At 56.6% G+C, this 22,282-nt stretch overlaps 1 protein-coding gene and 1 non-coding gene across 9 annotated transcripts in view, besides 4 other annotated features; both read left to right on the plus strand.

The window, feature by feature from the left end:
• SORCS2 (sortilin related VPS10 domain containing receptor 2) overlaps window positions 1-22,282 on the plus strand; it is a 550,290-nt gene that overhangs the window by 95,933 nt on the left and 432,075 nt on the right. The window lies entirely within an intron of this gene.
• Window positions 9,054-9,859: an enhancer, noted in NCBI's record as "H3K4me1 hESC enhancer chr4:7299251-7300056 (GRCh37/hg19 assembly coordinates)". NCBI's record gives its function as "activates a minimal SCP1, AML or CMV promoter by ChIP-STARR-seq in naive H9 embryonic stem cells {active_cell/tissue: H9 hESC(naive)}" and the evidence as "EXISTENCE:reporter gene assay evidence [ECO:0000049][PMID:30033119]".
• Window positions 9,860-10,664: an enhancer, noted in NCBI's record as "H3K4me1 hESC enhancer chr4:7300057-7300861 (GRCh37/hg19 assembly coordinates)". NCBI's record gives its function as "activates a minimal SCP1, AML or CMV promoter by ChIP-STARR-seq in naive and primed H9 embryonic stem cells {active_cell/tissue: H9 hESC(naive and primed)}" and the evidence as "EXISTENCE:reporter gene assay evidence [ECO:0000049][PMID:30033119]".
• Window positions 18,046-18,546: an enhancer, noted in NCBI's record as "H3K4me1 hESC enhancer chr4:7308243-7308743 (GRCh37/hg19 assembly coordinates)". NCBI's record gives its function as "activates a minimal SCP1, AML or CMV promoter by ChIP-STARR-seq in primed H9 embryonic stem cells {active_cell/tissue: H9 hESC(primed)}" and the evidence as "EXISTENCE:reporter gene assay evidence [ECO:0000049][PMID:30033119]".
• Window positions 19,110-19,609: an enhancer, noted in NCBI's record as "H3K4me1 hESC enhancer chr4:7309307-7309806 (GRCh37/hg19 assembly coordinates)". NCBI's record gives its function as "activates a minimal SCP1, AML or CMV promoter by ChIP-STARR-seq in naive H9 embryonic stem cells {active_cell/tissue: H9 hESC(naive)}" and the evidence as "EXISTENCE:reporter gene assay evidence [ECO:0000049][PMID:30033119]".
• On the plus strand, window positions 21,980-22,054 carry MIR4798 (microRNA 4798). Its single transcript, NR_039961.1, has one exon. It is a non-coding gene; the product is annotated as a microRNA 4798 (primary transcript).

Genomic DNA, 22,282 nt, shown 5'->3' on the forward strand with positions numbered 1-22,282 from the left:
TCAGGGAGAGGCAGAACTGGCGTCTGGTGAGGACATCTTCCTGGCTTGTAGATGGGATGGCAGCCTCTTCTCCCAGGGGCGGGGGGCGGGGGGCGGGGGGAGAGGGGGTGGGAGGAGGAGAAGAGAGAGGAGAGAGGAGAGGGGAGAGAAGAGAGAGAGAGAGATTGCATCCCCACTTCCTCTTCTTCCAAGGCCACAGTCCTATTGGATTAGGTCCCTACTCCTGTGACCTCTTTAACCTTAATCACCTTCTTACAGTCCCTGTCTCCAGATACAGTCACATTGGCAGCGAGGGCATCAATACAGGAATTCATGTGGGGTGGGGGGGGGAGTTGGGGAGGGCACAGTTCAGTCTGTCCTCAGCATGAACCCTTTTTGTTTGAGGTGGCTGCTGCCCAGCCCAGGTACCACCTCCTCCAGGAAGCCTTCCTGTCTCTCCTCTGGGTTTCCATGGTGTCTGTGCCACCTCCTCCAGGAAGCCTTCCTATCTTTCCTTTGAGTTTCCACAGTGTTTGTGTCATGCTGCCCTGGGTCACAGTCTTCTAGGTTGACTCTATTGATCAATCATCCCTCTCCCTTGGGCTTGGCACTAGATTTTGGCAGAGCTAGCAATGGAAAACACCTGTTCAGTTCATCCAGGTGTAGGTGACATATGGATATCTGTCATCCAGGGAGCCCAGATACAGTTGAGGAAGCATTATTCCAGTAGTTGGGTGCTTTCAGGTTATGACTGAAGTTCCTTCCCTGTGGCCCTCTGCAGATGGAGGTCTCTCTACCTGGAAGACCCTCCTTTGCCTTTGTCTGGCTCACTTCTTCTCCCTGGGAATCAGGCTGGGGTTTCCTCCTCCAGGAAGCCTTCCTGGATTTCACAGCTTGGAGCCCACTGTGCCAACTCTGACATCACATATTAGTGTCTGGTCCCTTGCAGGCAAGGCCCGGCTGTCATCCCCATTGTTTTGCAGAGCCTGCCACCCTGCCTAGCACTGAGTGGGTGCTCAGTCAATATCTGCTGATAGGATACAGGCTCCTAGTGCCTGGAACAGTGCTGGATGCTGGGGGCACGTGGTAAATGTTTGATGAATTCATTGAAGTCAGCACTGTGGATTGGCAGCAGCTGCCACAGAGACCGAGCTGCAGTTAATAAAGCCCTCCCAGGCCCAGGGCAAAGGTAAAATATCACAATTCATGGAAAGCTTTTCATTAAAGCTCTGCGGGGAGTTTTCTCCAGTATTAGCATTTTTCAGACTCTCCTATCAGCAGCGCTTCGAGGATAAAAGCTGTGAGCTGCAGAGGCGGACGTGGGTGAACAAACACAGGCTATTTGCACATCCCAAATAGAGACGGCGCTCGGCTTGCGGCCCTTCCTCCCGAGACGCTGCAGGGCCTCCCCTTTGCTCATGCTTTCAAAGGACCCTAAAACATTCTGCATCGCCATTGTCACCTGCAGCACCCTGATCGCAGCCAGGGGACAAGGACAAGAGTCCCCTTCCGATTGCCTGAAAAGCCATCCTCTGAGTTGGCCTTGGCACTCCCAGGCTGCGAGGGAGGACTCCACACGGGAGGGCTGGGGAGACCTTTGCTGCCTCTGAGTGGCTCTGTACCAGGGGCCAAATATGGGGGAGACTGCAAGTAGCTGAGTGACCCTGGGCTGGCAGGAAGCTGATGGCTGGCCCCAGGGGAGGTGGGTTCACACCACATGGCCCAGCGCCCTTATGTATTTGTCAGGACAACCCGTGGCAGCTCTTGTAACGAACACATCTCAGGGTCTAACACAGCGCCCGTCTACCTGGCTCTCAGTGGGCTGGCTGCTCTCTGAGTAGTGACCTGCCATCTGGACCCCTTCAGCTGTGGGCGCCACTATCTGTAACCTTAACTTCAGTGTGTGACAGGAAGAAAAACACAGATGCTCCCACGGGGTGCTCAGGGCTTTGACTGTCCCCCAGACCCAGGGTCTTCTGGTGTGAATCACAGAGGAACCTAGTTGATTTTTTTCCCTTCCTGGATTTTTCTCCCTTCCCCATGCTGCCAACAGAATCCTCCCTTCATTTCTCCAGGTCTTTATACCTATTGCCCAGGTGGGGAAATTGAGGCCTAGAAAGGAAAAGGGTTTGCAGTGAACCATACTCTGCAAAGGAGCATGGAGACTTGAACCCAGGTCTTTGAGCTCCTGGGGAGTGTTCCTCCTGCCCCTCATCCATGTATGCACACATGTGCATTATGTATGTGCGTGTGTGCGTGCAGATGTGTGTATGTGTTTTGGGGAATGTAGGGCAGGGCTAGCTCTCAGTTGATTTGTTGACTGTAATGACTGCAGAGGCTGCATTCTTTCATTCATTCATTCATTCATTCAGTGAATGTAGGTTAAGGGCCTGCTATGCTCCAGGCAGGGCTGAGGAGACAGTGAGGAATGGAGCAGACATAGTCCCTGGCTGGCTGGCTGGGGAAGCTGTAGTTAAAGAATGAATTACACGGTTCTTTATTTAATTGCCCCAACCTGATCACTCCTAGAAGGGAGACAGTCCTGGGACCATGTTTTACCCAGGGGTTGGACAAGGTCTCTCTGAGGTGGGGACATCTTAGGGAGATGGCTAAGTGGAGCACAGGGCATGGAGCAGGGGGGACAGCATGTGCAAAGGTCCTGAGGTGGGAGGGACCCTGGGTGTCTAAGGCAGAGGCACCTGTGACATGAATAGAGGTGAGAGAAGGGGCTCGGATGAGGCGGCGGTGGGGGCAGAGCTGAGGCCACATAGCAGGTGAGAGGGACTTTAACTGAACAGCTGTGGGGGGCCAGGAGAGGGTTTAAAAGCAGGACAGGGGTGTGGTCGTTTGCTTTTCACAGCAGCTTCATGACTGCAGGTGCAGACGGGCCACGGAGCCTGGAGGAGTCCACGCCTGGCCCATGGGAGGCCTCTGCCACCCACATCAGTGCTGGTGGTCGGGCCAGCGAGGGGCTGGTGGTGCCGTGAGCAAGAAGGCTTTCATCATGAGGGCTCCCAGGGTTCTGGCTCGGTGGTGGATGGTGGTGCCCTTCCTGGGAGAGAGAGATCACATGGCGTTTTGGGCCCCGGGCTGTGGGATCTAGGCCAGCGTTTCTTCTACAGCAGCAGAAATGCCTCAGCGTGAGCGTCAGTGCTCGGTCAACTGCACGGCTGGGTCAGGGCTGCCTGCCAGGAGAGCCTGGTGTGTGAAAGAGTCTCCGAGACAGGAGAAACCAAGGAAGGGGACTGAGATGCCACCAGCAAGTCCTGTGGGCCCATCCCTGTCTTATGTCTCATCTATCCCTCCCTGCTCCCTTGTGATTCTCACCAGAGAATTCATCTTTATGGACACGGAAGCCGATATGCAAAGAGGAAGGTCTCCAGGGTTTTCCAAGGTCACCTAGCCCATAAATGACACAGCTTGTTCCCATTCAAGTGGGACAAGCCCCTCAACCGTAAACATCCCCACAGTAAAACTGGGAATGCGGCCACACAGGTCTCACGGGGCCAAGGCAGGGATGGTAGGAGATGGTGTAGGGAGATGGTGCTCCTAACTGTGACTGTTGTCTGGGGGAGGGTCCCTTGGGGCTGGCCCTGGAGGGGACCGTCATGGGAAACCAGACCAGCCTCACAGAAACTGAGCTCGGCCTGGATCTCAGCTCTCTCCCGCTGATCTCCTGGGGAGAAAAGCTGGGTTGCCGCTTCACAGTCCGTTCACCAAGGAGGCTCCCCCCACCATTGACAGTCTGTTCACCAAGGAGGCTCCCCACCATTCGCAGTCCGTTCACCAAGGAGGCTCCCCCGCATTCACGGTCCGTTCACCAAGGAGGCTCCCCACCATTCGCAGTCTGTTCACCAAGGAGGCTCCCCACCATTCGCAGTCTGTTCACCAAGGAGGCTCCCCACCCCACAGCTCCCATCACTGCATTGAGTGCTCGGGAGATAAGAGGAACCCAGAGATCTGATCCGGGCACTGGATCTCAGGAAGATGCACTGGTGTGGATCGTGGTGGTGGTTGTGTTCACAGTTAGTGTGCTCTGGGGACCTGGGCTTGGCCTGGGCAGGGAGAATCAATGTAACTTTAGGGTGCACAGGAGAAAAAGATTGTATTTCTTTGGGGTTCTCCTTTATTTGCTCTTTTAACATTGGCTGCTGCTTGTTAAAGGGAGAGAAGACCTGGATCACTGACTGGGAGCAAATCTAAAGGTTCAAGGGGGTTTGGTGACATCTGTCTGCCTGTGTCCAGCTGGGATGGCTAGAGTCAGGCAGGGCAGGGCTTGGGGCCTGGGTCGGGAATCCCCTGCTGTTTTGGAGACGTTGCCATGATGCCCTTGATGAAGATGCTACGAGCACAGATTGCACGCCTTGCTGTGAACTTGGGCAGTGTGCTGAATTTCTTTTCCAGAAGGCATTTACTAATTAAAAAGGAAAAATAGCCCATGCTTATTAGAAAATACAGAAAAGCAGAGAGAAGAAGAGTGGTCCATGCAGATAGTGTCTGCTGGGTTACCTCTGCTGATTTCCTTTTCTCTTTCTCTATTGAGGAGTCTGTGACATTGAAAATGGTGCTTGAGGCTGGGCGTGGTGGCTCACACCTGCAATCCCAGCACTTTGGGAGGCCCGAGGCGGGCGGATCATGAGGTCAGGAGATCGAGACTATCCTGGCTAACATGGTGAAACCCTGTCTCTACTAAAAATACAAAAAATTAGCCAGGCATGGTGGCGGGCACCTGTAGTCCCAGCTACTCGGGAGGCTAAGGCAGGAGAATGGCGTGAACCCAGGAGGTGGAGCTTGCAGTGAGCCGAGATCGCGCCACTGCACTCTAGCCTGGGCGAAAGAGCAAGACTCCATCTAAAAAAAAAAAAAAAAGAAATGGTGCTTGAGATGTCCCAGCCACCACCTTTGTCCCCTGACCGACTTCTCTCTTGGCTTCTGTCATACACAATCTCACGACCTCCTGCGGTCCTTGTAGACATGGCTTTGTATAGCAGCCTACATCTCCATGGAGTGGATACCCCAGAATGTCTCCAATGATCCCTCTGCTGTTGGTTATTTTTGGCTCCCCTGAGTGTGAATGCACCGTTTGCAGAGTTTAAGATCTTTTCCCTAGGAGAGATTCCTGGAAGTGGCATCATTTGTTGAAGGTAGTGAATGGTTTTGGGGAACTGGGTAAAGCCAACCTGTTGCTTTCTGTAGGCAGGGATGGCATAGACAGGTGGGCTGTGCTGGGGGACACAGTCAATGCCTTGGATTCTCTACTGGCGATCCCTATGCAGAAGGTGTCTCAGTGCGTGGTGCCCAGCGATGTGCAGCTGCCTGGGGGAGCCTAGAGGCTTCCTTTGGTCACAGTAGGGCATGCCTGCATTGGCTTCTTCCAAATTAGCGTCTCTCTTTCATTAGTGCTTTTGGTGATAACTTTTCAGCCAGGACTTGGCTATTCCGAGGCGCTGTCCAGCAGGGCGCATTTGGATGGTATTGCTTGCTGGGATTTTCCCTTTCCACCAAGAGCATTTTGATGTATCCAAATTATTGCCGTACCCTTTTCCTTTTATTTTTACCCACGCTCCTGAGACTCCCCCTGGCTCTAGTGGCGTGTCCTACCTTCCGGAAGGTCAGGTATGACTGAAGCCAAAGTTGCCTCAGAGGCTGGGGAAGGAGTGGCTTCTGGTTAGTTACGTCTCATCAGCTGAGAGGTTCTGAGCGTCCTATGTGCATACGCACCGGTGATGCCTGGCAATTAGGAAAGAGCCCATGATGAGGCAGTGCCGGGGCGTAGGGGAGAGGAGGGTTTCTGTGGGCAGATTTGGGGTGGGGCAATTTCTAATAGAGGGTAAAACTGGGGCCAAGGCCTATTTGGGGGACAGATGTGAGAACAGGCATCCTCTGGTGTAACCAGGACGGGGCTAGGTGGTGCAGGGGTGGAAGGACTATGAGGCCAGAGGTAGGGCAGGAGGCTGTGTCTCCCCGCAGCCGACCTTCTGGGAACTGCGGCCTGCAGACCTTCAGATCATCAGAGAGGCCTCTGACAGTGTGCAGAGCACCTGCCCCAGGGAGCTCCTCCTCCATGCCCCAGGGAGCTCCTCCTCCATGCCCCAGGGGTGCAGGGGGTGCTCTGGGACTCTGGAGAGAGGACTGTTTTTGTCCTCTGGGCCCAGCCAGTACTTGCCGTGGGCAAATCCTCCTAGTTCACCTTTCCTCCCCCTCTCCCTCTTCCTCTCCCTCCTCCTCCTCCTCCTCCCCCTCATCCTCTCCCTCCCCTCCTCCTCTCCCTCCTCCTCCTCCTCCCCCTCATCCTCTCTCTTCTCCCCAGCTCCCTCCTCCCCCTCCCCCTCCCCTCCCTCCTCCCCTCCTCCTCTCCCTCCTCTCCCTCCTCCCCCTCCCCCTCCTCTCCCTCCTCCCCCTCCTCCTCCTCTCCCTTCTCCCCAGCTCATTCCTCTCCCTCCTCCTCTCCCTCCTCCTCCTCCTCCCCCTCATCCTCTCCCTTCTCCCCAGCTCCCCCCTCCCCCTCCCCTCCTCTTCCTCCTCCCCTCCTCCTCTCCCTCCTCTCCCTCCTCTCCCTCCTCCCCCTTCTCCTCTCCCTCCTCCCCCCTCCTCTCCCTCCTCCCCTCCTCCTCTCCCTCCTCCCCCTCCTCCCCCTCTCCCTTCTCCCCAGCTCCTTCCTCTCCCTCCTCCTCTTCCTCCTCCCCCTCCTCCTCTCCCTCCTCCTCCCTTTTATTTTCTCCCCCCTCTAGCCCCAGCCCCCTCTTCTTCCCCCGGCTCCTCCTCTCTCTCTCTCCTCCTTCCCCTCCAGAGGAGACACCATTATGGCCGCCCACACAATGAGGCGATTGTGCACAGCAGCCCCTCTGAGCCCAGAAACATGGCGCAGGCCTGATTTTCATGAATAATCAGACTCCTGGCCAGGACCGCAGCAGGCAGCACCCTGAGCTCTGCCGGCCGGCCGGGTGCGTTGCTACTGGGCTTTGTCCAGGGATGAAGAGCCCCTGGCTTGGTGCCCTGTTCCTCGGCAATAGGGTGGGGAGATGGGGCCGGCAGTGGAGCCTGGCCGTTGGCTCGAGCCGCCCAGCCCTGGGAGCAGCCGAGAGGGGCCAGAGCCCTTGCCCAGGGTCCGTGGATGGGAAGCGCTGGTGGGGGCTGGACTCCAGCCTCACGTCCATGTCCTCTGGCCCTGTGCCTGGGAACCCTGGAGGGCAGCCCTACTGTAGGCACCCATAGGGTTACTGGTGTGAACGGGACGGCACTCTCAGCCTTATTGTTGCCACCATGTGGGGTGGGGACATGCCCAGCATTGGATATGGCACCCACCATTTGAGGTGTGGCCTCCTGGGATGGAGCCTTGGTTTCCTCACCTGTCCAATGGGCATTCCCACACCTCTCCCACCTGGGATTGGCCAGGCTGATGGAGCAGCATGCCCAGCACACAGTAGGTGATCAGTGTGGAGAACGCCAGGACGGCTGCTTTCCCATGGCTGGGGCTAATGGAGAAGCCTGTTGCAGGGGCTTCCCTGAGGTTGACATGTCAGAGCCAGGAGTCGTGGAGCAGAGCCCTGTGGGAGCTGCGTCATGGCTGCGTGTGTGGCTGGGGGTCCGTGCTGGGGGCCACAGGGAGAAATGCGATGCAGAGTGTTGGAACCCAGCACCTGCCAGCCTGCCTGGCCTCTTCCTCTTGGCTGCAGTGACACCTGCTGGTCGCCCCATGCTGACCTTGTTTCTGTGGCTCCTTGGGGTGCTCCCTCTGGGGTGCCCCCATCTTCCTGGACACCCATGAAAACACCCGGAACCCCTGCCCCTGCCCTCACAGCCTCCGGGAGCTGGAAGTCTCTTTTCCCCGGAGCAAGCACTGTGTACCCTGATTTTCTCTCTGGCCTCAGTGGTGAGCTCGTGTTAGCGGGCAGGCTCATGCCTCAGCGAGGTTTTAGGAGCCGAGGTTGGGCTTGCTGGCAGGAAGCTCTGCCTCCTCTCCGTAGACCCTGAGGTGGGACTCCTGGGGACAACCCAAATCACGGGCAGGGTGGCAGAGACAGAGAGGGTTGGGGCCCTCTGCGGGACTCCACCTCTCCTCTCCCCACCCACCCCACCAAGGACTCAGGGTTCAGCCCTGGTTGAGGCCACTCGCTCCTGCGAGGCACCGATGGAGGGGTGGCTACAAGCATGGACCTTGGGCAGCTAACCTCATTGCTCCAAGCCCCAGTTTTCCTCTCCATCATTTGGGAATCGGAGTAGCCCCAGCCACTGAGAAGTGCGGGGAGGGGTGAACAAGTTAATATTCACTAACACGGGGCCAGCACCGGGCCTGTTCTTTGCAGGTCAGCAGAGAAGACATCAGACTCTTTCCGGAGAGGTGACCCCCCAACACACATACACACACTGCGTGGCTTCCCTCTATCGCTCGGTAGTCCTTGGCTCTCGGGGACAGAAGAGGCATGGGTGCCTCGACTCCCCAGCCCCCTCTGGCCAAGGTCCGCGTGCCCGGCCTGGTGTCCGAGGTGCCCAGGCCAGCTTCGTGCTCCTTCCCCCTCCCCAGACACCAGCATCTTCCGGCCTCTGGGGATTTGAACTTGCAGCCGAACACCTGGGACAGCCATGCCCCCTGTCTTCTGTCTCAAGACTCAGTTGACCTCTCTCCTCAGAGTGCCTGGGGGGGTCCTCCCCACCTCCCCTGGATGCCCATGGGTTCCCTCTCTGGGCATCTCCTCTGCATTAGGTGGAGGGGGCTGGGATTCCTCAGTATGCCCCCTTCCCTTCCTGGAGGCCAGAGGCCCTGTCTGAGTCACCCCGGCACTCCCAGCTCGGGGTTCCACACCGTGCTCAGAGCCTGAGGGAGGAATCGGTGAATGAGCCCCCAGAGTCGGTGGGGCTGGAGGGAAGAGCCACGCCCCCTTCTGCCTCTGCCTGTCCTCAGTCTGCAGCCCTGTCCCCTGCATGAATACCACTTTTGTGCTTTTTCTGCAGGCCCCCGCCCCTCCCCCACCCCCACCCCAGGGATCTTGCTGGGTGGGGGATCGGAAGAGCTCTGGGGGTTGGGAAGCTGCCTCTGCTCCTTCTGTCCAGACAGCCTGGGCCCTGGCCATGCCCTGCCCCCTGCTGAGTCTCCCTGGGTGAACGTGGGGCAGAGAGGGCTGTGCTCAGTGACTGTAAGCTCCCTTCCTGTCCCCGAGTTCAAGGGCTGCTGTTCCTAGATCCTCGTCTGAAGTTTCTATAAAATGAGAACCGTGCTCTATGGTTCCCAACCTGAGACGAAAGAGCTGCCGTGTAGAAGGGACTTAGACGTGTCTCATGCAACTCCAGGAGCAAGGCTGGCTCACACTCAGGCTGGCCTCAGGCAGCACTTTTGGGCCAGTGGTGCTGCCTGGGGTCATGGCACTGCCTGGAGCCCAGGTGTCTGGGGCTTTGTGCTGGCCCCACCGTCCAGAGGGCCCAGCCCTGTCTGTCCTCTGGCTGTGACTCTCTGCAAGGGCCAGAGAATCTGTGGAGCCGAGACTGAGCCCCCTGGGGCTGGTATCCGCCTTGCAGGCCACATCTGGATACCCAGGACCCTGTAGTTCTGTGCCCTGCTGGCCTGAGCTTGTTTCTAGGGCCTGAGCCACCTCTTCCCCAGGTCCGTCCTCCCAGAGTGGGCTGCACAGCCAGTGTGTGCACTTGGAGTCCCAGGGGTGGGACAAGGAGGCGACGGGGCTGGGGACAGAGGGGAACAGAGCGTGGCCTTGGAGGCTGTGTGCACCGCAGGCATGCAAGACCCCCTGGGGTCCAGGACATGACCATGGTGAGAAGAGAAAGGGGCAGTTTGGGGACATCCGTTTGTACTCTCCAGGGCTCTGCACATATGAGGGCAAGGCACCCCAGCAGGGGTGAGTGAGGAAGGGTTGGGGTATAGGAAAGGGAGTATGGGAAGTTGGAGGTGGGCCTTGTCTTTCCTGGGGTCTTAGTTTGGTTTCTGGAGTAATTTCAGAGGCCAGGATGCCCTGACATACAAGCAACAGTGCAGACTTTTCTGGAGAGGGTGCCGGGAGCTTCCTTTGGCCTCTGATCGGTCAGCGACCCAGGCAAGGGTAGAACTACTGACCAGGGTGCCCCAGCAGCTTCAGAGCAGGCTTCTTTGTGGACAGCATGTTTCTTGGAGCCACTGGCGGCTGTGAAGGACCCAGGTTTCTGCCGCTCCCACGGTGACGGGAGAGGGCTGCCTGTCTGATTTCCAGCTTCTGCAGCAGCCATGCCGCTGGTGTCATGGAGGAGGAGGAAGCCAGCACTCCCGCCGTAGTATAGGGAGCGGGGCTCATGTCCATGCTAACCAAAGACCTGAGCAAACATTTGTGAGCCTGAGGTCCCCGGGCCTAGCTGTGCCCAGGCCGGGTGCTGGGCCCCTGTTCTGCAAACATCCCTGGGATCCTCATGCTGCATCCGGTGCCCCACTGCAGAGCCTGGCGGAATCAGCCCGCAAGCCCGCCTCCATTCAAACAAGTGTTTGTCCTCTTCTGGGACAAGGCCGGTGGGAAGATAATTAAAAGTGACCCAGCATCGCAGAGTTGTGCAAATTGCAGGATTAGTGGGGCATTAGCGGGAGGCCTCACAAAAGGGCCGTTCTGGCCCCGCCACCCCCTCTTGGGTCCCCCAGCTCCCCCAGCTGGGCACATAAAGCCGGGGGTTGGTGGTGAGACAGGCTGGGGGAGGAAAGTAGGAGGAATTAGCGTGAGGTGGGATGAATAGGGATGCTTTGCAGTCAGGGCGGCCTGTCCGGGGCTGGGGGTGGGCCCCCTGGCAGCCGGAGCCAGGCGAGGTGGGGGCCGAGGCTGTGAGCGGGTGTGGAATGCGTCTGAGTGGATGGCGGGCTGTGCCCTAATGAGAAATTGGTGCTGCCAATCAGGCATGGCCCACTGAGCAGCAGTCCAGGGCCCTGGATCCCAATCCGCTCTCCACCGCTTGTCTTCCCCTCAGATGGCTCTGCCCCTCAGCGGTGCTAAGTTCCTTTCTGTATGGATCGCATGGCCTCGGATACATCTCTCGGGGACCATCTGGCCTGGAACATCAAAGAACAGCTGGAGATATCTTCTTTCCCCTTCCTTTTAAAAAACAAAGCGAAAGCACCCACACCTCTAGGAAGCGAGAGCATGTTAGATCCTGGGGCATTTTCTACTTGGTTGGTTTCTGTTGTCCTTTCTTCTTAAAGCTGTATGGGAAGGGAGCACGTCTCATCCCTGAAAGGCTGTGCTCACCCTAATTGTCCTATTATCTGAAAACAAGGGAGATGGGGAAGCCGTGGTCCAGGCCTGTGTCTTCCTCCAACTTCCCATCCCATTTTCCTGGGGCCCGCTGCCTGCGGGGCGTTTCTGCTTCCTGGGACTTCAAGCTCTGCAACGGACCCCTGAGCTCTCTGTGTTCCCATCTTACCGTCCAGCCAGGCATGTAGGCAGGAAAGCTGGCGTTGGCCTCCGCTTGTCCTTCTCCCAGAGCCCGCTGGACACTGCACCCTGCTCCAACTGCGGCTGCCTTCTGAGCTGAGGCAGCCAAATTCTAGCCCCTGCTGAGCTGTGACAGGCAGGAGTCAGGGCTTGGTCAAAGCTGCTCTTTGTCTTTGGGGGTTGATAAGAAAACTAAAGCCTGGCAGAATCAGGACGAGAGAGGATGGCGCGCCCTCCGCCTGCTGAGGACCGGGAGGTGGAACAGGCATCGTCCCACCCTTCGTAGCTACTGATAAGTGGGAGATGCAGGAGCCGAGCTGGGTTCTTGCACTGAGGGTGCAACGAAGGCACAGTCACTGCCAGGAGAGCTTCCTGGAGGAGGTGGCCCAGGAGTGAGAGGTCTGGAGGGAGGAGTGAGGGTCTAATCTCGGGGATGGGGTGGGAAGTACTCTGGGCAGAAAAGCGGGCGGAGGGTGGGGGGTACTTTTCTGGGAACCCAGCAGAGTCCAGGGCAGAGAGAAAAAGCGAAGGACTTCCGTGAACTCACCGTGCAGTGATGCAGAGAGGTGTTCTTTGCCTCTCTAGCTTCTGCACCACTCTCACCAAGCCCTGCTGAGCCTCTCCTGTGAAGAGAGGCACCCCTGCCTCTGCTTTCAGTGATGAAGCGGTGGCATGAGTCCCCGCCACCACGGCACTATTGTAAGCAACGTGCACGCGTTGACACAGTAGGTTCTCACGGCGACCTTTGGAGTAGGTACTGTCATTATGCCCGTTTGACAGATGAGGACACTGGGGCAGAGAGTGGAGAAAGAACTTGCCAGTCTGTGAATTCCCCTGGTCCAGCATCCATGCCCTTCAACCACCGCAGGCAATGCTGCCATAGCCTGAGGCTACCCTCCCGTGACCCTGGTCCCGCTGGCCTTCCTCATCTCCAGGCCTTGCTTGATTTCTGTCTGCAGCCAGCCTTGACCTGGCATGGGGACCTGAGCCAGTCCTGTGGAAGAGCCCTGTTTGAGAGCCATCTGTGTCTGGCCACTCGGCCTCTCAGGGTCCTGTTGCATGTCCCGGCTGTCTCCTTCCTGCCTCCGTGCCTGGGCAGCTCCCTCTGCAGACACCCTTCTCGTGCCTTCCTGCCTCTTCTGTGTGGCCCAGCTGTCTGTGAGGTGCTCAGTCTAAGGTCAAGCCTCAGTCTTCCAGAGCTGGTTTAGCAGCATCTCCGTGGGCCCCATCTTCTCCTTGTTTCCTCGGCCCAGCCCTGGCGGGACTGTGTCCTTCTGTCCCTGCTTAGGCCTTTCTGGCTGCCTCTGGATCCCACAGCACAGCCCCGATCTTGGCAGTCGCTTTTCCTCCACTCATTTCCTTCCTTCATTCTGCCAGGGTTTGCTTAGCACCACCTATGTGCCAGTCACTGTGCTAGACGTTGAAGACACAGCAGCTATCGAAACAGAAACACTGCCACTCTCATGGAGCCACAGCCTGGTGGGGGAGCTGCCGAGGAGGTGCTGAAGCCCACCCACCCTCAGCACAGGCCCAGGGAGGGACGAGGGTGGCCAGGGCACCTGTGTGCTCAAATGAATGAGTGAAGGAATGATCTCGGATCAATATCACACAAAGTTCTCAGCAGCTGTCTTTATGCACCAGAGAACTCAGTCCAGCGCTCAGGCGCTGGGCTGACCCCTGAGTATGGGCCCACATTGGCTGGGAGCACGGCAGGCAGAGCACCCTCGACCCTTCTCCCCACGGGGCAGAGGCCTAGGTTGGCGCCTGCTGCCAGCTGGAAGCCGGGCGGCCCAAACCCTCTGTGTTCCTCAGCAACCCAGACTGAGTGTCGTGAATCTTTGTGGCCCCAGCAGAAAATGCATTTCCTGAAACTACCAAAATGAGGTGAAGATGGGCAATTGCTCTCCTTTTTCCATGAGCTGCGCTGGCCTCCCAAATGATGTCGCTCTGCATGTTTCTGGATTACATTCTCCTGAGCTGGAAGGACGGGGTTAACACTAAGGTTCCGTTCTCCTGCAGGGCTCTTTCTTGGATAAATCCAATATTCAGAGAAACACATCAGTGCCATGGCGCCTCTCCTTCCCTTCCAGCTCTTGCTGCACTCCTACATCCTCTATAAAAATCACTGTCCCCTACAGTGGCCTCTGTGTCCCACCGGGACGCACAGGCAGCATCCCACCTGGTTGGGCAGTGGGTGGGTAGGCCAAAGTGTCCGTACCTGCATCCCGGCTTGCCGGTCTTAGCACTTGATGACACGACATTTTATTTTGCTCACTAGTTCTTGTCTCTGGTCTCATCCGTGATACCTGAGCTCCTGGTCTGATGGTGAGATCCTCACAGGCAGGCACCATCTTGTATCTCTAATATTTGTGTGGTGGGCGTTTGCAGGGATGCCAGGTGCAGACAGGAGTCAGACGCAGTGCCTGCCCGCAAGTAGCTTGCACGTTGCTGGAGAAATGACAGGTAAGTGACTAGTGGCTGTGCAGTGGTTCCCATCTCACTCAGAAGAAAAGCCAAGGTCACGACCGGATCCTCCATGCTGGTCCATGGCTGTGGGCACACTCCTGCCTCGGGGCCTTTGTACTTGCCACTTCGTCTGCCCAGAACGCCCTCCCTGCAGCCAGATGTCTGCCTGGCTCTCTGCCCCTCCTTCGGGAGCTGCACGGTCCCCACTTTCCAGTGAGGTCTCCCTGACCACCTTATTTAAAACTGCAACCCAGGGCCCTCCCTGTAGGCCCTGTGCCCTGACTTGGACCTGTTTTTCTCCATGGCAATGACCACAGTTGGACTTAACCATGTAATTTCCCATTTATTTTGTCTCTCATCTGTCTTCTCAGTAAAGCTAAGCTCATTTTGTCCGTTTGTTCACTGCTGTGCCCCCAGCTTTGAGAGCAGTGTCCGGCATCTAGTAGACAGTCCACATATGTGTGTGTGTGTGTGTGTGCGCGCGCGTGTGTGTGTGTTTGTAGGAGTGTTCTCCTATACCTTTTTACGCACAAGGGTATTGTATAGCATTTTATGGTATCAATAAACAAGAATATCATCTAATTAGCACCTCAAAGTTCCCCTGATCACACATTCGTAATTGAGGTTTGTGTGCCCCTAGCTGCGTGGGGGCCGCAGCCAAGCGGCGATTTCACCTCCAAGCCTCCGTGGAGGGTCTCTGCGCCCCTGGGGTGCTGTGTGCACAGTGGAATGTTAATGCGGCCAGTGCTCTGGGCCACTCCTCCATGCACACAAAACAGAGCTCAGACGAGGTAATAAAAAGCAAACCTAATTTGATTTTTCAAAATTAGTGCGCCCAGAGGACCTTTTTAAAAAGAAGCCGGCATGGGGTCAGCCGAGAGACAGCCATAGTGTGGGAAGTAAACTCCCGAGGGAAACCCAATATCTAAACCACTGAGGCGTTCCTGGCTTCATTAAGTAAAGGATGGCAACTTTTTAATTGTGTCAGGAACTCAGCTTTCAAGGAGTTATTAATGGATGCTCTCTGCTGGTGACGATGACAATGAATGTTTTTTATGCGTTTCCAGTCCTCCCTTTTCTAAAAAGAAACCCGTCTCATCCCTTTTTGCTGTTTCATAATTCCTCTATGCCCCTTTTTAGTTCTTGAGATGCATTAAGTATGAACTGACTTCATTTGACATGCAATCAAATTCTCCAGGTCAACTCTGGTTCTTTCTTTCAGTGTTTTTATCTACGCTTGAGTGACGTAGGGCTTAAAGGAAGAGTGAATTTCGGCGTTTGGTGATGGTCTTGGCACCCTGCAAACCATTCTGGGAGCTGAGGTATATGGTGCTGAGTGTCAGGGTATCTGTTGAGTTGGCGAGCTGCCCACCAGCCTGCTCCCCATTTCTGGGGTCTCAAACAGTGGGTGCTCAGTCATCACTTGCTGAATTGTGGGTGAAGGAAAACACCTTCTAAGGCCAAGTCAGAGCGCAGGACGCAGACCTCGGCGCGTCTCTGTCCGGCTGCCACAGAGCTCACCGTCCAGGCAGGAGAGAGCGATGTTCCCTGTGGACCTGTCCTGAGAGTGTGGGGAGAGAAAGGATGGCAGGGGCCTGAGGGGCCAAGGGGTCACCACGGCTGTGTGCCTGTTTACCAGGCCCTGCACATGTGTGATTTTGTGGGATCCTCCTAAGAACTGTGAGAAGCAGGTGCTATTGTCAGCCTCAATTTACAGATGGAAACCCGATGTGGAGTTTCTTTTCCACACCTTCACGTCATTCATTTATTTAACCAATACTTGTTGACGCCTATATGTGCCAGGCATGTGTGGTCCCCACGCTGGAGATAACAGCAAAGAGCAAAAGACCAAACCCTGAGTCTTCGCTCTTTCCTTCTGGCCTTATGTTCTTGCCTGGGGGTCGGGGAGACAGACACAAACCCAGAGACGATGAGGAATAACAAACAGCTCGACAGACATGGGTCTGTGAGGCTCAAAACCCCCTTTTTCATTAGCGACGGGGGCAGGTGATGGTTGGTGCTCCCTCTGTCTGTCCTTCTGCCCTTCCCTCCCTCTTTCCTGCCTCCTTCCCCCCTTTTATGCATCATCCACAAGCATCTATTTAGCATCTCTTTTGCAGGAGAACTGATGGAGAAGAGGCGGATGCGGGTGGGTCGGCGGCCCTCCTGCCTCCCGTCCATCCAGTGTGTTTGTTGAACAAATGTGCATTGAGCCTGGGCTCCCTGATATCCTCTGGGCCTGTGAGAGCCAGGTAGCGTTCATGAGCCTCATCAGTGCTCAGTAAACCTGTGTCCCTTCTTAGCCCTCGATTCTTCCTCTCAGAGCTGCACCTTGAGCTGAGTGGAGGGAGCAGAAGCCGTGGAGGCGAACAGGCCTGAGCTCCTGGTGGGCGGCTCAGCTGGACAAGAGCTTGGAGGCTGGCAGAGACCTGGTCTGTGCAGAGCTTGGTGGGGGGCCTCAGCCCTGTAGCAAAGGGCTCCAGCTGCAGAATCAAGCCCCATTCATTGCTTCCTGCTCCCTCTTCTCCTTCCTAAGAAGAAACTCACAGTGAAGTCAGAGCATTTCCAATGTTTGGGGCTGGGTTGTCCTGGGGGCAACGCCACTGAGGCTTCATGCTGGAGGCATCCCGGTTCCTGCTCGTGAGGGCTTCTGGCGGGGTGACACCACCCTTGCTGTCGGCTCCAGAGTCGTTCCTTACTCAGGCCGACATTCTGGCTCTTCTTTTTTTTTTTTTTTTTGAGACAGAGTCTGGCTCTTTTGCCCAGGCTGGAGTGCAGTGAGTGATCTCAGCTCACTGCAAGCTCCGCCTCCCGGGTTCGTGCCATTCTCCTGCCTCAGCCTCCCGAGTAGCTGGGACTGCAGGCGCCTGCCACCGCGCCCGGCTAATTTTTTGTATTTTTAGTAGAGATGGGGTTTCACCGTGTTAGCCAGGATGGTCTCGATCTGCTGACCTCGTGATCTGCCCGCCTCGGCCTCCCAAAGTGCTGGGATCACAGGCGTGAGCCACCACGCACGGCCCATTCTGGCTCTTGTCCCATTTCTACTTTAGTTTTTTTTTTTTTTTTTCTTGGAACACTATTTCTATGGAATACAATCCTGAGAAGGAGGGGTGCCCGGCCAGTGCTAAAAGTGGAGACATGGCGTGGCCCTCACCCATCCTCCCACATGGCGCTCAGCTCCCCTCTCCGTCGTCTGCTTCTTGCAGTGGCATAGCAGGTGGTGGACTAGGTTGGGGGATGCATTTATCAGGGAGAACGCTCATGGCTCTAAGGCCCCCCCAGCATCTCAGGGGCTTAGTGTGAGAGAAGCTGTTTTTGCTCATATGAATGGTCACAACTGGGGTTCAACTGGTGGCTTCCAAGGTGGTCCAATACCCTGGGCTCCGTCCACTCCCAGGTCTAGGGAGACCTTCTCGATGCCGCTTGGTGGAAGTGGAAGGGAGGGGTATGCAGAATCATTTGGAGGTGTCCCTGGGCTGGGCCCGGGCACGCCCATACTCTGCTGCCCAGAGCACAGTCCCCTCCCCGATCATCCCCCCAGATGCTGCCTCTGGCAACTCACTACATCCTCCAGTTCACTGGACAAACACTTATGGGTGCAAACACGGAGGGGTGAGGCTGGGGGCTATGCTGCTGAAACACAGTGAGGCAGAAGATCCTGTGTGCCTTGAGCAGGATGGCTGAGGAGTAGGACACATGTGGTGTCCCCCTGCCTGCAGTCACTCCCTTCCTCGACACACTCTTGGGCTTGCTGTGAGCTGGGGAGAGGCTAGTGGCAGGGTCCCGGTGCTCTGTTCCACCCTGTCCCCATCCCACGCTCCCTGAAAATGAGTATCCCCAGACAGCTGCATGTGGGCTTGGGAGCAGGTGCAGCGGTGGGCACTGGGGGCACAGACACCTAAGCCCGGGCTCCCCTCCAGAGCCCACAGTCGGCTGGCTGGCTCAGGGCACTGTGCTGGGGCAGTGGGCTCCGGGGTAGGCTTGTTGATGGTCCGAGGGTGGAGGGGGAGGGCGGCATCTGGAAGGAAGTCCAGAGTTCTGGCTTCTGGTGGGGGTGGGTGTGTAGCAGGATCAGGTCTGAAGGAGCCAGAACAGAGGAAGGGGATCAGAGAGGATGAGGGTGGCGGTGGCCCTGCTGTGTCTGAGGGTTTGCGGTGTGGCTGCTGCATTTTGTTCTGAGGATGGCTGTTGGAGCAGAGGGAGTTCAGAACAGAGGGGCTGGGTTGGGGGGTGTAAACTGTTGTCTAAGCGACACTCTAAGGAATATGGCTCTCAGGCCACTGAAGGGCGGTTCCCGTGGGGCTAGGCATGCCTGGGAATCGCCTTCAGTTCCCAAAGCTGGTCCTGGGGAAGGAGGGTGGGAAGTGCTCTGTGCTCTCCAGTTGCTGTCCAGAGGCTGGCAGGGGATCATTCCTGTGGACGGATCTCCATGCAGTGCACCGTGCAGAGTCGCCTGGAGGCTGGAGTGTGGCCCCGTCCCTGGAGGGGTGCAGGCACAAGTGGCAAGCAACACATGCTGCTTTTGGGGTCAGTGGGACGGCAGGCAGGCAGCGTTGTGGGCGACCCCCTAAAATGGGGCTGGAGGGCTGGACTGGGTGACATTTCCATGCAGAGCACCTAGAATTAGTTATTTGACAAAGAAGGGTCTCCCCTGCCGTGTGTCCCGGAGCTGATTCGGTGCCTGGGAGAGTCTGCAAGTCCACAGTGTGCAGCTCCCCAGGTTTCTCCAGACATCCAGTTCTCAAGGGGTCCTGCTGTGATTGGGAGAAACCGAGGCTGGGGAGAGACTAAAAGCTTCTGTGCCTGGATTAGAAGCCTGTGCTGGACAACCCTGAAGGCGACGCCAGCCTCATCGGCCCTCACATTCTCTTCCCCTCCCCTCTCCCCAGGCGACGTTCAGAGCCAGATAAAGGCACTGCTGTGCCCGGGAGGGATCGTTCACGGGTCCTGGGAGGGGATTCTGGAAGATTCCATGCATGACTCTCCTCTCCTTCACTTCTGAGCCACCTGGAAGTTCCTTTCGTAAATGATTCTTCCAGAAAAGAAGAAAAGCAGCCCCTTGGATGTGTACAGAGTCCTGTCCCTTTTCCTACCATTGCTGTGGTCCATCCAGGCCAGGGTCCACAGGGGAGGCTGTCCCTCATTTTACAGATGGGGAAACAGAGGCTCAGAGAGGAGGAGCAAATGCCTGCCCTGGCCGCTTGGGGGTGGGGAAGGGCAGCAGAGCCAGGCTGGGGCAGGTCAGGGCTCCGCCGCCATGCCTGTCGAGCTTGGCAGCAATTCCTTCCTTTTGGATTGAGGTCATCATTTCTGGCATTTGCCATCAGAGGGAAGCGGCTGAGGGTGGGTGCTGACAACTGTTCTGTAAGCACTGAGGGAGAACAGGGCTTCAATGGGGTCCACAGGGGCAGACTGAGAAGCTGTGAGTGGTGTGTTTGTTCATGAGTGTGTGTGCCCATGAGTTTGTGCATGAGTGTGTGTGTGCATGGTGTGTGTATGAGTGTGCATGCACAGGCCTGGTGTGTGCATGAGTGTGTGTGCTTGGTGTGTGTATGAGTGAGTGTATGTGCATGGGTTTGTGTATATGTCTGTGCATGAGTGTGTGTGCATGAGTGTGCATGCATGGGGTGGTATGTGTACACAGTGTGTGTCTGAGTGTGTGTGCGCAGGCCTGTGTGTGTGCACAGAGTGGGAGGTAGGCTCCTGCCCACTGTCTTTTTCTAGAGGCCATCTTTGGCTCCCTATGGACCCTCTGTTTGTGCTGCTGGCATAGTCAGGATGCCTGGAACCCTGTTCCAAGTCAGAGGTGTTGGGAGCCTCCAGCTGCTTTCATCCCTCTCCCTCTCAGGGGCACTTTCTTGACTCCACCCCAGGCCGAGTCCCTGCGTGAAACTCCTTTAGGGATCAGTGTTTTCCACTCCAGGATGGAGGTCAGTGCCCGGTGGGGCCTCAAGGCAGTAGGAGCACCCCCACCACCGCCTCCAACCCCCTGCCCCTTCTGCTGCTCCAGCCTGGCTGGCTACCTTGGGCTTTGTTGAGCAGCTTCTCCTCTGGTCACCTTTCCAGGGGGCAGCTGGGGACTTTTCTGGCCTGTGTGTTTGGGGTGGGGGTAGATGGGCTCCGTATTTGGGGTGGACACCTGCTCTTCTTCCGATGCCAGGTTGACCCTTACATGAAACCCATCCCCTTCCTGGGTTTCTAGAGCGGTGTCAGACTGGCCTGTTACACTGAGCACTGGTGGGTTTGGTAACTTGAATGAAGGGCGTGACCAGTTGGAGTTGATATTGCAGACATGCCAGCAACCTCAGGGCAGTTCCTAAAGGTGCCCACTGGCCACCCACAGCTCCTTGCCCACCCCACACATCTCTTCTTCACTCCCCCTCTTCCCACCAGCACCCTGTCCTCTCTCTCCAGCACCCTGTCCTCTCTCTCCAGCACCCTGTCGTCTCGCTCCAGCACCCTGTCCTCTCTCTCTAGCACCCTGTCTTCTCTCTCCAGCACCCTGTCTGTCCTCTTTCTGCTCTTCCTTGTGCCTCCCCAGGATAAAGCCACAGACCCTGCCCGTGCACAGCAGCAGCAGCAGAGACACACCTCTGGTGTGGCACCCTCCATGCCAAGACCTCCTGCTCTCTGGCCCTCTCCTACTGAGAAGAGTTCTGGGGCCCATGGTTCTGGTATTTTGGAGCTTTTCAGAGCCCTGGGCAGAATTCTCTCTCCTCTGCAACTTCCCATCCTGCCCTGCACACTGGACCGTGGTGCCTGGGTCTAGCACCAGGCGGGCTGGGAGCCCCTTGGTTGTCAGGGTTGTCAGCACTTGGAAAGGTCTAAATCACCGGGCGCACGCTGGCACTTCTGTGGCACCTCCCGTGCTGCAGGTGTTTTCTCTCCTGTGTGCAAGTGTGGAAGCTCCAGAGAGGTTAAGTGATTGGCCCTCGGTCGCCCAGTGAATCGGAGATGCCACTGGTGATGGAGCTCAGGCTTCCTGACTTCTGGTCTCGTTTCCTAGCAACGCAGGACTCAGGGACCCAGAGCTCTTTTTATGTACCTGTAAACCACACGGGAGCCTCAGCCCGTCTGGCAGCCAAATCTATCTTTAGCAAGTGTGAGAACGCTGAGGCCTTTCCCTTGAGGCAGGTCCCGATCAAAAGCTAGTTTGGACTTGAGCAGAGGGGCCTGGTTGACACCGGGCGACACAGACGATGGGCTCTTTGTCGGAAGCATTTGAAATGGAGGAGTGAGAACCTGCCCTCCACACAGGCATGTGGCTTTGGCTTGCTGCTGAAGATTTTTGAGGTATTTTCAGCTTTTTTAGTGCCTCTGAAATGGAGCTGCCAAGCAGTGGGAATGGAATTCGGTTTGAGGAGTGGTTACCATACACCTTCTTTCCTCGAGGCTCTGGGCTACCTGCTGGGGTCAAGCGTGGGCGGGGACGAGAGTTGGCCCAGCTGTGCCCTTGTGTAGCTGTGTCCAGGCTGGGGAGAGGGCCTGAGGCCCGCGTAACCCACCGGGAGAGGAGATACCCAGTGAGTGCTGTGGTCGCCAGGCCTTGGTAGGTGGCAGCTGGATGTTCTGCGAGCTTATGCCCTCTCCGGAGCAGCTCTGCAAGCCAGGGGTGTCACCCGCAGTAGGCAGGGCTCAGAATGGGGGTTCAAGGAGCAGGCGCTGGGAAATGGGGGGATTCAAACTCAAAGGCTATGAGTTTTCCATTCTGAAAGGCTTCTTAGAGAAGGGTAAGGAATGGGTGGATTTGGGGAATTTGGAACTGGGGAGAAAGAGCTCCCAGGAACAGGAGCAGCAGGGAAGACCCTGGGGGATGGAGAGCCAGCAGTCATGCTTGTGCGTGGAGAGCTGACGGCTCTGGAGTCCTGCCCTGGCTGGGCCTCCGCTGGGCAGCATAACTGTGTCATCACATTTAATCTCCTCCACAACTCATGGAGGTAGACACTATCATCACCCCCATTTTAGAAATGAGGAAACTCAGTCACAGAGAAGTTAAGACAGTTGTCCAAGGTTACACAGCCTTGAATGCGGGGAGTGACACCAGCAGGGCCAGAGGTGTGTGTTCCTCAGAGCAGCCTCCCTATCCACATTGACCGGCTTTAAAAATGGCATTTATTAAATACATTTTCATAATAATGAAGTACAACTTCGGTATACTTTGTGAATTGGCTTTTACAAAAGACCAACTCACGAAGTATACCGAAGTCATACTTGATTACAACTAAAAATGGTTTGTGAACCACCATACTAGTTGCCCCATGAGGCCCCCTCGGACAGGATCAAGTTCCACTTCCAGAAACGCTAAAACGCAGCCCGGAGATCTGCTCAGCCTGATGCACACACCCCAGGGCGGGGGCACAAGGCAGACGGGAGCTGGAGCTGAGTCTGCAGAGTCTTCCACGGTTCTGACCTTGGATTTGAGTTTGTCCCTGAAGATTCTA

This window comes from Homo sapiens, chromosome 4 (assembly GCF_000001405.40).
Source record: "Homo sapiens chromosome 4, GRCh38.p14 Primary Assembly".
Lineage (NCBI taxonomy): Eukaryota > Metazoa > Chordata > Mammalia > Primates > Hominidae > Homo > Homo sapiens.